Source organism: Homo sapiens, chromosome 17 (genome assembly GCF_000001405.40).
Source record: "Homo sapiens chromosome 17, GRCh38.p14 Primary Assembly".
Taxonomy (NCBI): Eukaryota; Metazoa; Chordata; class Mammalia; order Primates; family Hominidae; genus Homo; species Homo sapiens.
Window position 1 is genome coordinate 21,413,881 of NC_000017.11, and position 12,198 is coordinate 21,426,078.

A 12,198-nucleotide genomic window follows, 5' to 3' on the forward strand; every position below is an offset into this window, starting at 1 on the left:
GGTGACACCCCTGAGCACTGCCCAGGTGCTAGGGTAGCAGCCTTGCAATCTTCCTTAGAGATGCGGGAAGCAGGGGCTGGGGAGGGCCCTCGGCTGAGGTCAGCCAGGGAGCAGCCCATGTCTGGGTGCCAGATCTTACCCTCTTTGGCACTGCTGGTGACCAAGAAGCTGCAAGCATGGCATGTGGGTGGACACTGTAGAGTGGGGCATGTGGGTGTCAGGAGGGTGGTGGGACCCAGCTTGGGGTGTTCAAAGTGGGTGGCGACAGGGGTGGCAGGCCGCATTCTAGGCCCTGGGAAGGACAACAAGAAGCAAAAGAGAAAACGTCTCACGCCTGTAATCCCAGCACTTCAGGAGGCCGAGGCAGGTGGATCACCTGAGGTCAAGAGTTTGAGACCAGCCTGGCCAACATGGTGAAACCCCGTCTCTACTTAAAATACAAAAGTTAGCTGGATGTGGTGGCGGGCACCTATAATCCCAGCTGCTCAGGAAGCTGAGGCAGGAGAATCGCTTGAACCCAGGAGGCGGAGATGGCAGTGAGCTGAAATCGCACCATTGCATTCCAGCCTAGGTGACGAGAGGAAGATTCTGTCTAAAAAAGAAAAAAAGAAAGAAAAGAAAAAAAGAAAATGTGCTACCCTTAGGGAGTGGTGGTCTCAGGGTGGGGTTGATGGTTGAGTGCCCCTGGCTACGTTATTGTTATTGCTGCCGCCATTGTGCCCTTAGAAGGGGCAGTGCTGTGGATATAGCAGGGATGGGACATGGGTCTTCCTGGGGCACAAGGAGGCCTCTGGTGCCAAGGTGGCGAGGCAGTGGCAGGATGTCTTGCGGGAGGGTGTCCAGGGTGGGTTTGAGGGACAGCCTGGGGCCAGGGGCTGTGGCCGGAAGGGGAGTCCGCTGGAGGAGGCTGGGAGGTGAGGTCCGAGGGGTCAGGAGCTTCCCTGTGCAGGTCCTGCATGTCCTGGGGGGCCTCTGGCATTGAGCAGGGGAGGGATAGGCACCGACTCAGCTTCCACAGGCCCTCTGTGGCTGCCATGGAGACTGGGGGGCCATGGGCAGAGGCAGAGAGGCTGGCAAGTTGTGCCCCGAACTGGCTGGGCAGGCACTGTTAGATTCAGGCCTTGAGGGTGGGAGAAGGGGTCGGATCCTAAATAGACTCTTCAGAGCCCTCAGTGTGGGAGTGAGGTGTGGAGCTGAGGTTTTTGGCTGGAGCTGCTGGGGGCCCGAAGGGGGTGGCCATTCGCACTGGGAAGGCGGAGTGGGGAGCTGGCTTGGGCAAGACCAGAGCACGATCGTGGGTCAATCAGGGTGGAAGCGTCCTCCAGTCACGTCTGGGGGCCCTGGGATGGGGGTAGAGGAGCCCGGAGCCACCAGCCCAGCCAGACATGCTGTCGTCTCTGTTGCAGGAGCCGCCCTGCCTGGAGCTAGCCTGGGGGCGAGCCAGGGTCCCCCAACCCCCGGGATGACCGCGGCCAGCCGGGCCAACCCCTACAGCATCGTGTCATCGGAGGAGGACGGGCTGCACCTGGTCACCATGTCGGGCGCCAACGGCTTCGGCAACGGCAAGGTGCACACGCGGCGCAGGTGCCGCAACCGCTTCGTCAAGAAGAATGGCCAGTGCAACATTGAGTTCGCCAACATGGACGAGAAGTCACAGCGCTACCTGGCTGACATGTTCACCACCTGTGTGGACATCCGCTGGCGGTACATGCTGCTCATCTTCTCGCTGGCCTTCCTTGCCTCCTGGCTGCTGTTCGGCATCATCTTCTGGGTCATCGCGGTGGCACACGGTGACCTGGAGCCGGCTGAGGGCCGGGGCCGCACACCCTGTGTGATGCAGGTGCACGGCTTCATGGCGGCCTTCCTCTTCTCCATCGAGACGCAGACCACCATCGGCTACGGGCTGCGCTGTGTGACGGAGGAGTGCCCGGTGGCCGTCTTCATGGTGGTGGCCCAGTCCATCGTGGGCTGCATCATCGACTCCTTCATGATTGGTGCCATCATGGCCAAGATGGCAAGGCCCAAGAAGCGGGCACAGACGCTGCTGTTCAGCCACAACGCCGTGGTGGCCCTGCGTGACGGCAAGCTCTGCCTCATGTGGCGTGTGGGTAACCTGCGCAAGAGCCACATTGTGGAGGCCCATGTGCGCGCGCAGCTCATCAAGCCGCGGGTCACCGAGGAGGGCGAGTACATCCCGCTGGACCAGATCGACATCGATGTGGGCTTCGACAAGGGCCTGGACCGCATCTTTCTGGTGTCGCCCATCACCATCTTGCATGAGATTGACGAGGCCAGCCCGCTCTTCGGCATCAGCCGGCAGGACCTGGAGACGGACGACTTTGAGATCGTGGTCATCCTGGAAGGCATGGTGGAGGCCACAGCCATGACCACCCAGGCCCGCAGCTCCTACCTGGCCAATGAGATCCTGTGGGGTCACCGCTTTGAGCCCGTGCTCTTCGAGGAGAAGAACCAGTACAAGATTGACTACTCGCACTTCCACAAGACCTATGAGGTGCCCTCTACGCCCCGCTGCAGTGCGAAGGATCTGGTAGAGAACAAGTTCCTGCTGCCCAGCGCCAACTCCTTCTGCTACGAGAACGAGCTGGCCTTCCTGAGCCGTGACGAGGAGGATGAGGCGGACGGAGACCAGGACGGCCGAAGCCGGGACGGCCTCAGCCCCCAGGCCAGGCATGACTTTGACAGACTCCAGGCTGGCGGCGGGGTCCTGGAGCAGCGGCCCTACAGACGGGAGTCAGAGATCTGAGCCAACCTTGGCCGACATGCAGCATCCACCCCCGGCTGGGGAGAGGCCCCGCGGTCGCTCAGGGGCCCCGGGTTTGAGCAGAACGGGCCCAGTGCCCTGGGTTGCAGACTCAGTAGCGTTTTAGTCGTTTTATGTTTCTTTGCAACGGCCTCAGAAGTTTGGCCGGAGAGGGGGCAGCCAGAGCGGCAGCCCCCGGCCTCAGAGGCTATCACAGGCTCAGGGCAAAGAAGTGGCCTCCTGGGGGGCCAGGCCACGAGGGCCAGGGCTTCTGCCTGAAGATGGAGCTGCAGCCTGCGGGGAAGCAGCTCAGCTCGATGGTGGGCCCAGCCTCTGCTGTCCAAGGCTGGCTAGCTGCGGTGCTCCTTGCTGGTTTTTAACTTGGGGAGAAACACCGGGTTTCAGCTTTCTTGACCTTAGCTTGGGTGAGACTGTTTACAAAAAAAAAAAATTACCATGCAATTGAAAAAATTTTTTTTTAATTCACAGGGGGCAAAAAGAACAATTAGAATTCCATGGGTCTGCCAGGATGCAGCAGCTGGCTGAAGGCTCCAGAGGGTTCCCCGAGGTGGGACTGGCCTCTCCCCGTGTGTGTGGGCACCACAGTCCCTGGGCAAGCAGGGTGCTCTGGGACCGCACTTCATCGAGCTCACGAGCCAGCTAGGCTCTGTTTGTGATAGAAAAATCAAGACCATGTTAATGATCGTAATAAAAGCTTTCTACTGTCGTTGGGGTGGTGGGTGGGGCTGGGAAGAAACTGGTTTGAGCTTTTAGAGTTTGCCTTTGTACCTTAGAGATGTGTCTCAGGGCCAGGCATGGGACCTGCCATCGAGGGTTCCTCCCCGCACCCTCGATTTTCCTGTTTTGCTTCTCTCTCCATTTCTGTCCAGGCCTCCGCCCAATTCCACAGTGAGGGGTGGTTAGGAGCTATAGGCCGGGATGGCTCCTTGGGAAGGGAAGTCGGGATCCCAGGCTAGGAGGAAGCTGGCAGCCCCGTCCCCACTGGGCCCACAGTGTGAGTCGTGCCTTAGAGACTCCGGGTTGTCCTGTTCTTTCTGGGCTTGCTCATCTCCCCCCAACCCTGTCCCACCCCACCCCTCCCATACCTCCACTGCTGAAGTTCCTCCAGCCCCTCTGTCTGCCTTGTGAAGGTGGCAGGGGCCAGGTCTGCCTGACATAGGACCACATCCTGTCCCTCCCTCACCTGGAGCAGCACAGCAGAGTTCAGGCAGGGCACAGCCAGGCCCTGGTCAGCGCTGAATGGCAGAGGAAAGATCTTAGGAAAGGAGAGGAATCGCCACCCCCTCCTGCCAACTGGGATGACTGGGGAGGGCCACGCTCATTCAAAGCTGAATCAGAAACCAGCCGTGGAACAGAATTCCTGCCGAGTCTTCCAGGGCCGCTCCTCCACCACCCTCCCCCAGGTTGAGGCACTATGGCACCCTCATCAGGAAGAGGTTTGGGGTCCCCTTGTTGTCACTGCTGGCTCTGCCACCCCATCTTGTTCATGGCAGCTGGTTGGGTCAGGTCCATGGTAGAGCCAGGCCCTTCCCAGGGCTGCGGAGAAAACCTGCTCTCTTCTAGTCGGGCTTCTCCAGAAGCCAGTAATCAGAAAGGATGTGTCTCCTGCTCCAACTCTGCCCCCGAGACAGCTCAGAGCCAGAAGGCACCCCGAGACAGCTCAGAGCCAGAAGGCACCCCGAGACAGCTCAGAGCCAGAAGGCACCGAGGACTCTGGCCCAAGTGGGGAAGCTGAGGCAGAGAGCAGAGGGGGTCATGCAGTGAGTGGGTGGGGTGCAGGAGACAGAGAGGGGCTGGGGGCGTGGGGTGGGGGTGTCTGCCTCTTCCCTCCACCTCCTCCCCTCCTTAGCAGCTGAAGACTCAGCCCTGAGGTCTGGGGCAATGGAAGTCAAGACACCCGACCCCTACATCCTGGGGTAGGCCCGACTCAGCATCCTGTCCCAGCTTCAGCCCCACACTCATTTCTGGCATAGAAGATTCCGCCGAGGCAGCTCTTTCCTCTCGGGGTCTGCCAGGGGTGCCTCAGCTGGTTCCTGCTCCCAGGCCTAGCCCCGAAGCCTTAGGGGCCTTCTCAGCCTTAGCCCTGGGTACTGGGGTGAAGTTGGCAGGGGAGAGCTTGACACTTCGCCTCCCTGATGGCCATGCTGAGGGACAGTGGTGACCCTGGTCACTTGGTGCTGGTGTAGGGGCCTGTGCCCTTCCAGGGCCAGTGAGACAGCCTTCTACTCCCCCGACCCAGAGCTGAGTCCGAGGACCCCAGGCCCACCTCCTGGCCCTCTTGGAGGTCTGTGCTCTTACCTCCCAGCCCCCACCCTGCGGGAGAGCAGCCCCAGCGCCTCATCTCCCCAAAGGCGGCAGATGCTTGATTCTCCTGCCCTCTTTCTTCCTTCCCTCGTATTTATTTATTTATTTATTGCTTGTGCTAAAGACCAAAATAGTCTCCCTCTTTAGTGCACTTGAAGCGGGAGGGCGGATGGGATGAGCCAGGAGCGAGGAAGACTTGGCCCCTGGGGAGTGTGTGTGTGGAGGCGTGTGCCTGTGTGAGCCTGCATGCATACATGTGTGGTGCACACATGCACACTCGGCTCTTCATGTGTATGACTGGGTTAGTAATACAGATACGTGATCTATACGTGTGTGTGTGTGTGTGTGTGTGTGTGTGTGTGTATGCAGGCGGTTATGTGTCTGTCTACCCCCAGGTGTTTCCGTGTACAAGTTTCCTGTGAGGGAGGGCACCCACCCATCAGGTTGGGCACTGGCACAGGTGAACCCCACAGTCCCCGACCCTCTGCCCTGATTATGCACGTCTGCTCCTGAGTGGAGCTTGTGTTCCAGGATGAGACATCTGGAGGTGAGCGTGTGCGTCCGGCTCGTGTGTAGGAGGCTGTGTGTGTGCCCATGTGAAACCGTGTACTTGAGTGTGTGTCTGTGTGCAGCCTATGCCTGCTGCTCAGAGCACGGTGGCCACCCCCTGAGCCTCTGCTGGTGCTGTGCTGCGTGGTCCCCACCCAGAGGGTCCTGGGGGGCGGGGAGGAGCCACCGTTGGGAGGCCCCTGTACGGGGTGTCTGCCCTGCGTGAGGGCATAGAATGTCAAATTATTTTAAATGGTGAAACTGGAGAGTTTTCATGTTATTTTCAATACATAGCAGTATCTAAAGACGTAGGCGATGAGACTAGACCACATTAAATGCATTTTGATCTCTTTGAGGTCCCCTGTGTTGAGATGTGTTTTCTGAAGTTCCCCTGCATGGCTCCACAGCGTGCTGGGCGTCCGCCCGGCTTCCTCAGCCTCCGCCTTGGGTGGGGGTTTCCTGGGGCTTCCTCATGGGTGAGGGTGGGGCATGGTGGCAGCTGTTGGGAGATGGAACAGAACTCAGCCTCCTTGCAGCTCCCAGTGGTCTCCAGCAAGCACACAGGGCTTGTCCCATGATGTCACCCATCCCAGGCGGCAGGGCCGAGCCTCCTGCCTTCCCTTCCTTCTGCAAGGATGTGCTGGGTGCCTGCTGTTGCAGCAGCGCCCTCCCCAGCTGGGGGAGGCTGACCTGAGACAGGCAACTCCTTTCCCAGGAGGGGAAGCCCTGCTCCAGCTTGTAGCAGGCAGGGGCTGAGGAGGAGTTTCAGAGCGTGCCAATGTCTCCACTGAGGTGACGAGACAAGCCTGGAGTGGGGTGAGGGAACACACACGGCCCAGTTTTGGGAAACTAGACTTTCATCTGTACCTTGAGGCTCAGCCCCAGATCTCCAAGGTCTTCAGCAGGGACTTGTGGGGAGAGAATTCCTTCCCTTCCCAAACTATGTGAGTGGAGAGTTCTCCACTCCTCTGCATCAGCAAAGGACTCAGGGCACCCTCTTTCTGCAGGATTTCGATGATGATTCCAGACAACCCCGGATAAGAATCCCCTGCCTGAGTCATTCCTGGGTGATGGTGCCGTGCATGGCAGAATGTGGAGCAGGGGCTTGGGTGCCAGGGCCTAGGGGGTCATGAAGGCTTCCCAGTGGGAGCTCCCTTGGGTTGGACTTGGGGTGACCCGGGGACCCTGGAGGTGGCTTGGTTTGGTGGGGACCTCCTTTCTGACTCTGGGGCCCTCCTGGGACCCCAGTAGCAGGATCAAGGCCAACTGGGGCCAAAACACGGTAGCATCTGTCTTCACTCAAGCCCTCCGGGCCATTCCCATGGCGCTGACTGGTAGGCATGAGGCCCTGGCCCCAGTTGGTGCTCAACAAATGCTTATCGTAGAGTCTCCAGGTGCGCTGTCCTGGCTGTACTAATGCCGCAAAGGGCCCTGGGTCAGAATGCAGGCCACTCATTTGCTGGGGGACCTCCTGTGAATTCCTTTCCCCCTCCAGCCTCGGTCTCCTGATCTGCAAAAAGGGGGTGTTCATAAGAATGGCCAGCTCACAGGTTTGTTGGAAAGGAGGAGAAAGAACCCTGACATAGTGAGTGCTCCTCAGTGCCTGCCTTCTGCTAAGTCAGATTGCACTGGCACTGCCCGCCCTCCTGAGGGGCACCCGGAGGTGCTGCTCTGGCTCAAGGTCACAGCAAGGAACACATAGCCCAGGCCTAACCCCAGGTCTGCGTGACTTCCATGCACTTCCCTGCCTCTCCAGGGATGATGTGAGCCCAATCCAGAATCTGCTTTAAAACAGGTAGAGCTGGGATGGGGGTGGAGAGCTTGTGAGCGTTCACTGAGCGCCTGCGAGCTTGATGTTTGAGGTCTGTCAGGCCCCACCCTTGATCTTGGGCTGGCCCGTGTCAGCAGGCCTCAGAGGCACTGCTAACCTATTTTAGAGGAGGTTGGTCGAGGGAAGCTAAGGGACTTGCTCGAGGCCCCCACAGGGTAGTTCCTCAAGCTGGGATCTAAGCCAGGCCCTGGGCCCTTCAGTCAGTTGACCCAGATGCTGCCACCCTGCTGGGCACTGGACACCTCAGGGCCTCTGCCTGCTGGTGACCAGGGCTGGGCTGCGGTCTCTGCCAGTGGAGGGGTGCCCCAGCTGGGGCCTGCCCTGGACTCATCTCCACTTTTCCCTTCCTAAAACCGGTCTGCAGGGAGGACCCCCACAACTTGGGAGGAATCACAGCCCAGATCAGAGCTGCCTGTGTGCTCCCCAACAGCAGTGGGGGCCCCAAGGACACATCGGACCCCCTTCAGCCCACTCTCCACCCGGCACCAGAGTGGTCTTCTTACAACCAGAATCAGGCCTTGCAGTTCCCTGCCTGAAACCCTCCCTGGCTTCTCCTTAACACTGGCAATAAAACCCCAGCTGCTCCTTGCCCGCTTCACCTCTGCAAGCCCGCCCCGTGCAGCCCAACCTTCCCTGCTCTCACTCCTGCTCCTGCCCCTCTGCTGCAGGCACCCTGTCCCTTGGTTTCCCTGACATTCCACATGTCCCCCCACCCCAGGACCTTTGTGCGTGCCTTCCCTCTGCCTGACACTTTCCCCTCAGGTCTTAGCAGACCCAGCTCCTCAATTTTCGAGTCTAGGCCTTTCCGGACCCAGTGCGAGGGATGGCAGATGCTCCCTCTGGAGGCAGCGGTCACCCCCAGGCTTGCAGTCTGCTGTCCTCACCAGGCTGCGAGCTCTGCGGGGCAGGGACTGCCGTCTCGGTCCCCGCTGGTGCCCAGCGCCAGGAGCAGGGCATGGAGGAGCTCCATGTGTGCTTGGATGGGGGGTGTGGGCCCTGCAGGCGTCTCTCCCACACAGAGGGCTCTACAGGTCTTGCCACCTGAGGCCCCCTTTTTGCTGAGCCAGACAGGATGGGGCCCAGCCACCGGCCACACCCAGGGGAGAGCAGCCCAGCCTGGGGTAACTGGAACTGGGAACCAGGAACAGAGCGGACAAGGGCTTTTGTGCTGAAGGCGATTTGAGCCCAAGGAAGGCTCTGGGTACTCCACCCGCTTTCCTCCTCGGTGCTGCCAAGAAAACATAGAAGGCGGCTCCCCTTTCACCCACAGCTGGACTGGGACCTGGATGGCCTGGCTTCTGGACTCTGCCCTTAAGTGTTTATGACTGGCCAACTCTGGGCCTCAGTTGCCTTCTATGGAACAAGAGCTCCATTCATTCCTTCAAACAAGTGTTTATGAGCTGCCACTGTGAGCATCAGGGGCCAGGTGGGAAGGAAGCCAGGCCCAGCAGATGGTGAACAAGAGTCTGGGCCTGAGTCCTCTACAAGTGGGGATTCTGGTGCAGGGAAGGATAGGGGAGAGGGGAGCAGCCCAAGCAGGAAGGAGCTGAGGAGGGATGTGGGTGCCACTGGAGCCCATCACTGTCTGGCACTCCTAGGAGTGTGAAGAGGGGCAAGGCGTTGTCCTCCTTAGGTGAGGGGGGTGGGGCTGCGGTGGCGGCTGTTGCGCTCATCAGTCACTCCTTGCCTGCAGCCACCCTGGGAGAGGAGGTGGCTCCTATGGATCCAGGACTATTCTCCAGAGGAGGGTGGCAGGGAGATGGGCACTCCTCCCAGGAACCGGATCTGGGTGGCCCCAACCATGTCCACTGCAGCAAGGAGCTACAGAGCAGCGTGGTCCCGGGATCCAGCGGGACACATGCAGGGGCTGCGTCCGGAGGCACGGAGGCCTGGCTGGAGGGACCGGGGACCTCCCACAGGAAGTGACACCTCCTCTGGGATCTGCGGGATGAGTGGGTGTTTGCCAGGCACACAGGGAAGTGCTTCCCAGGGAGAGGGACAGGCACAACCAAAGGCCTTGCAGTGGGAGACAGCAGAAGGAAGATGCTTGGCTGGGGTAGGCGGGTCACCGAGAGCCCAAGGACTCTGTGCAGGGCCCAGCTTCAGTCTTGTTCCCAGCTCCTCCCCGGCCTCCACCATAGCCACAGCGTGGCTGCATTGCCCAACCCAGAATGTCAGCCCTTGGGAGCAGGACTTTTTGTTCTGCTTTGTTCATAGCTGGGTCCCAGCCCCAAGAACTGCAAGCACTGGCACCCAGTAGGCACTCAGTAAATCCTTAGCTGCTTCAAGATGTAAAAGGACCTTCAAGCCAGAGTTGGTGCAGTGTGGGCCTGTCCCTGGGGTGCCTGGGACCCTGCTGCAGGGCAGGGTAGGGTGGTAACCACCAGTGACCAGGAGCAGGAAGGGATAGGGTCCACAAGGGGTCCCAGGGGCTCCTCTGCACAGCTAATGCCAGAGGTGCTGGGGGGTGGGCCACACAAGCAACCCCAGCCTCAAATTAGGGACCCACCGACCAGGATCCACTGTGCTGTCAGAATAACATTTCGAAAGGCAAAAAATAAAACACATTGAGTTTCAAAGGAAATCTGTTTTATGGAAATGCAGTTATCAAAATATGAACAGATACATTGGTGGTATACCAATGGCTCTATTTCCTCACGGACCTGCTAATGGCCTCTGCCTCCCTGGCTGGTGAGCACAGCCCCTCCCAAGGGGGCCAGCAATGTCACAGGGCATGGGAATGCCTCCTGATCTGTGGGCGACAGGATAGTAGGCACTGGGCACTGCTCACCCTTGTCTGTCAAGGAAGAAATCGCAAAACTTCTCTGAGAGTGAGATGAAGTTGAGATTGAATGCTTCTCATTTCCCAGTGCACGTGCCCTGAGGCTTATTCCCAGACCCTGAGGGAGTTCAGGCCACAGGGGCTGGGCTGGGCCAGAGTAATTTCTTGAACCCAGTGCTGAATCTCAGAGTCAGAGCACTCTTGCCCGCCCCAACCCCCAGCCCCCAAGTCTGCTCGACCTGAGGGAGGATGGGGTGCTCCCTACGGAACACCAGGACAGTTCAAGGGTCTTCGCCCTGCACTTGTTTGGAGGCTGCAATGGTGGGTCGTGGCTTTCACTTCATGGCTGTTAGAGGGCACTCCCTTTGCGCTTAGCCCAGAAGCCGTAAACACTATGAATGCCATGGACAAGTGAATAGCAGGGAATGAAAGCTAGGGGTCCTCTTAGGCATGACCCTATGCCAGTCCTGGAGCCACCCAGAGAGGACATCTGAGGACTCTGAAGACCTTGGCTGCACTAACTTCTCTGTGCCTGTTCTCTCCTCTGTAAAATGGGGCTGATGATCATAAAGCCGCGGGTAAGAAGTAGGCAAACGCCTGTGGCTTCACCTGGCACATGGGCACTGCCTGAGCACCAGCTTTCCTCTCTAGCTGCCATGATCTGGGGTACAAGCATCCCAGGTGGGGCAACCCTGGACTGGTGCTCTGTGGCTGGAGGAGAAAGGGAAGGCCAGTGGGGCTGGGCCAGTTAGAGCCGGGGAGGAGGAATAGGCTGGGGCTGGGGCTGGGATCTGCTGACTCCAAGTGTGATAGAAGCAAGAAAGACCCCTGACATGTTTGACTTTTCAGGATCATTCCTGTTGCCATGTAGGAAGCAGGCCAGGGAGGAGGGCCCTGGGACTGGGCTGAGTGTGCAGCCCAAAAAGGGGCCCGAGGAAACATCGCGGCATCCAGGCTGGTCTGTGGACTTGGGTGGGAGCAGCCAGGCAGATGGGGAGGACTAAGGAGGAGAAGCTTGCGGAGAGTGATGGCCTCTCTGGATGCTTTAAAATGCAAACAAAGGCACAGCCACTTTGGAGGTTGGTTTGCAGTTTCTTGATAAAGTTAAACGTACACTTGTCAGACGATCCCACCTTTTGTCAACTAGGTACTACTCAAGAGAAATGAGACTCATGTTCACACAAAAACTTGTAAGTGGATGTTTATAGCAGTGTTACTAGTAATCACCCAAACAAGGAAGTGGCCTACATGTGCCTCACCTGATGAGGGGACAAGCAAGCCATGGCCCACCCCGAGATGGAAGCGTCCCGAGCAGGGAGAAAGGAGGATATTGACACCTGGCACCACAAATGTGTCCCAAAGGAAGCGGCTGAGTGGAAGGAGCCAGGCCCCGCCACTTCCTGCTGTGGGTCCCACGTGTGTCCATGGAAGCTGTGAATAGAGTAGGGGATGGAGAACACATCTGTAGCTGCCAGGGGCTGAGGGTGGAGGCGTGGTTACCACGAGGGACAGGAGGCAGTTTTGGGGCTTGGTGTCTTGATCATGGCTACACGGATATGTGCACTTTGTCAAAACTCACAGGACGGTGCACAGCAAAGGATGAGTATAGGTACATTACACCTTAAATTTTTCTTAAAGTGGGGAAAGAAAAAGAAGTTGCCACAAAAACCTTGTATGTTGAGCCACCAGCCTGTCTGGATTTCAGACACATTGGAGGAGAGGTTGGGTCTGTGGGTTGAGACTGGCGAGTCACCAGCTGTGGATGGAGTCAAGTGACTGAGAGATTAAAGACACCAGACACCTAGACACTGAGGATGTGGCAAGGCGAGGTTGGGAGAGGGCACGGGGGTGGAAGGCATTGGGAATGACAGAGGCAAATTGGTAGGAAGATTGACACACAGATAAAAAGAGATGGTTGGATGAGGCAGAAAGACAGGCAGAGAGACAGAC

General features: G+C 58.6%; 1 protein-coding gene across 3 annotated transcripts in view, besides 1 other annotated feature; it reads left to right on the forward strand.

The window, feature by feature from the left end:
- The window catches only part of KCNJ12 (potassium inwardly rectifying channel subfamily J member 12), a 43,514-nt gene extending 37,524 nt beyond the window's left edge, over positions 1–5,990 (forward strand). For all 3 annotated transcript variants that reach the window (NM_021012.5, XM_005256625.6, XM_011523831.3), the window contains exon 3: positions 1,407–5,990. In NM_021012.5, the coding sequence (NP_066292.2) occupies positions 1,463–2,764 (1,302 nt within the window). In that variant the 5' untranslated portion in view covers positions 1,407–1,462 and the 3' untranslated portion in view covers positions 2,765–5,990. The remainder of the gene's footprint in view (positions 1–1,406) is intronic.
- Positions 11,027–11,526: an enhancer, noted in NCBI's record as "H3K4me1 hESC enhancer chr17:21328219-21328718 (GRCh37/hg19 assembly coordinates)". NCBI's record gives its function as "activates a minimal SCP1, AML or CMV promoter by ChIP-STARR-seq in naive H9 embryonic stem cells {active_cell/tissue: H9 hESC(naive)}" and the evidence as "EXISTENCE:reporter gene assay evidence [ECO:0000049][PMID:30033119]".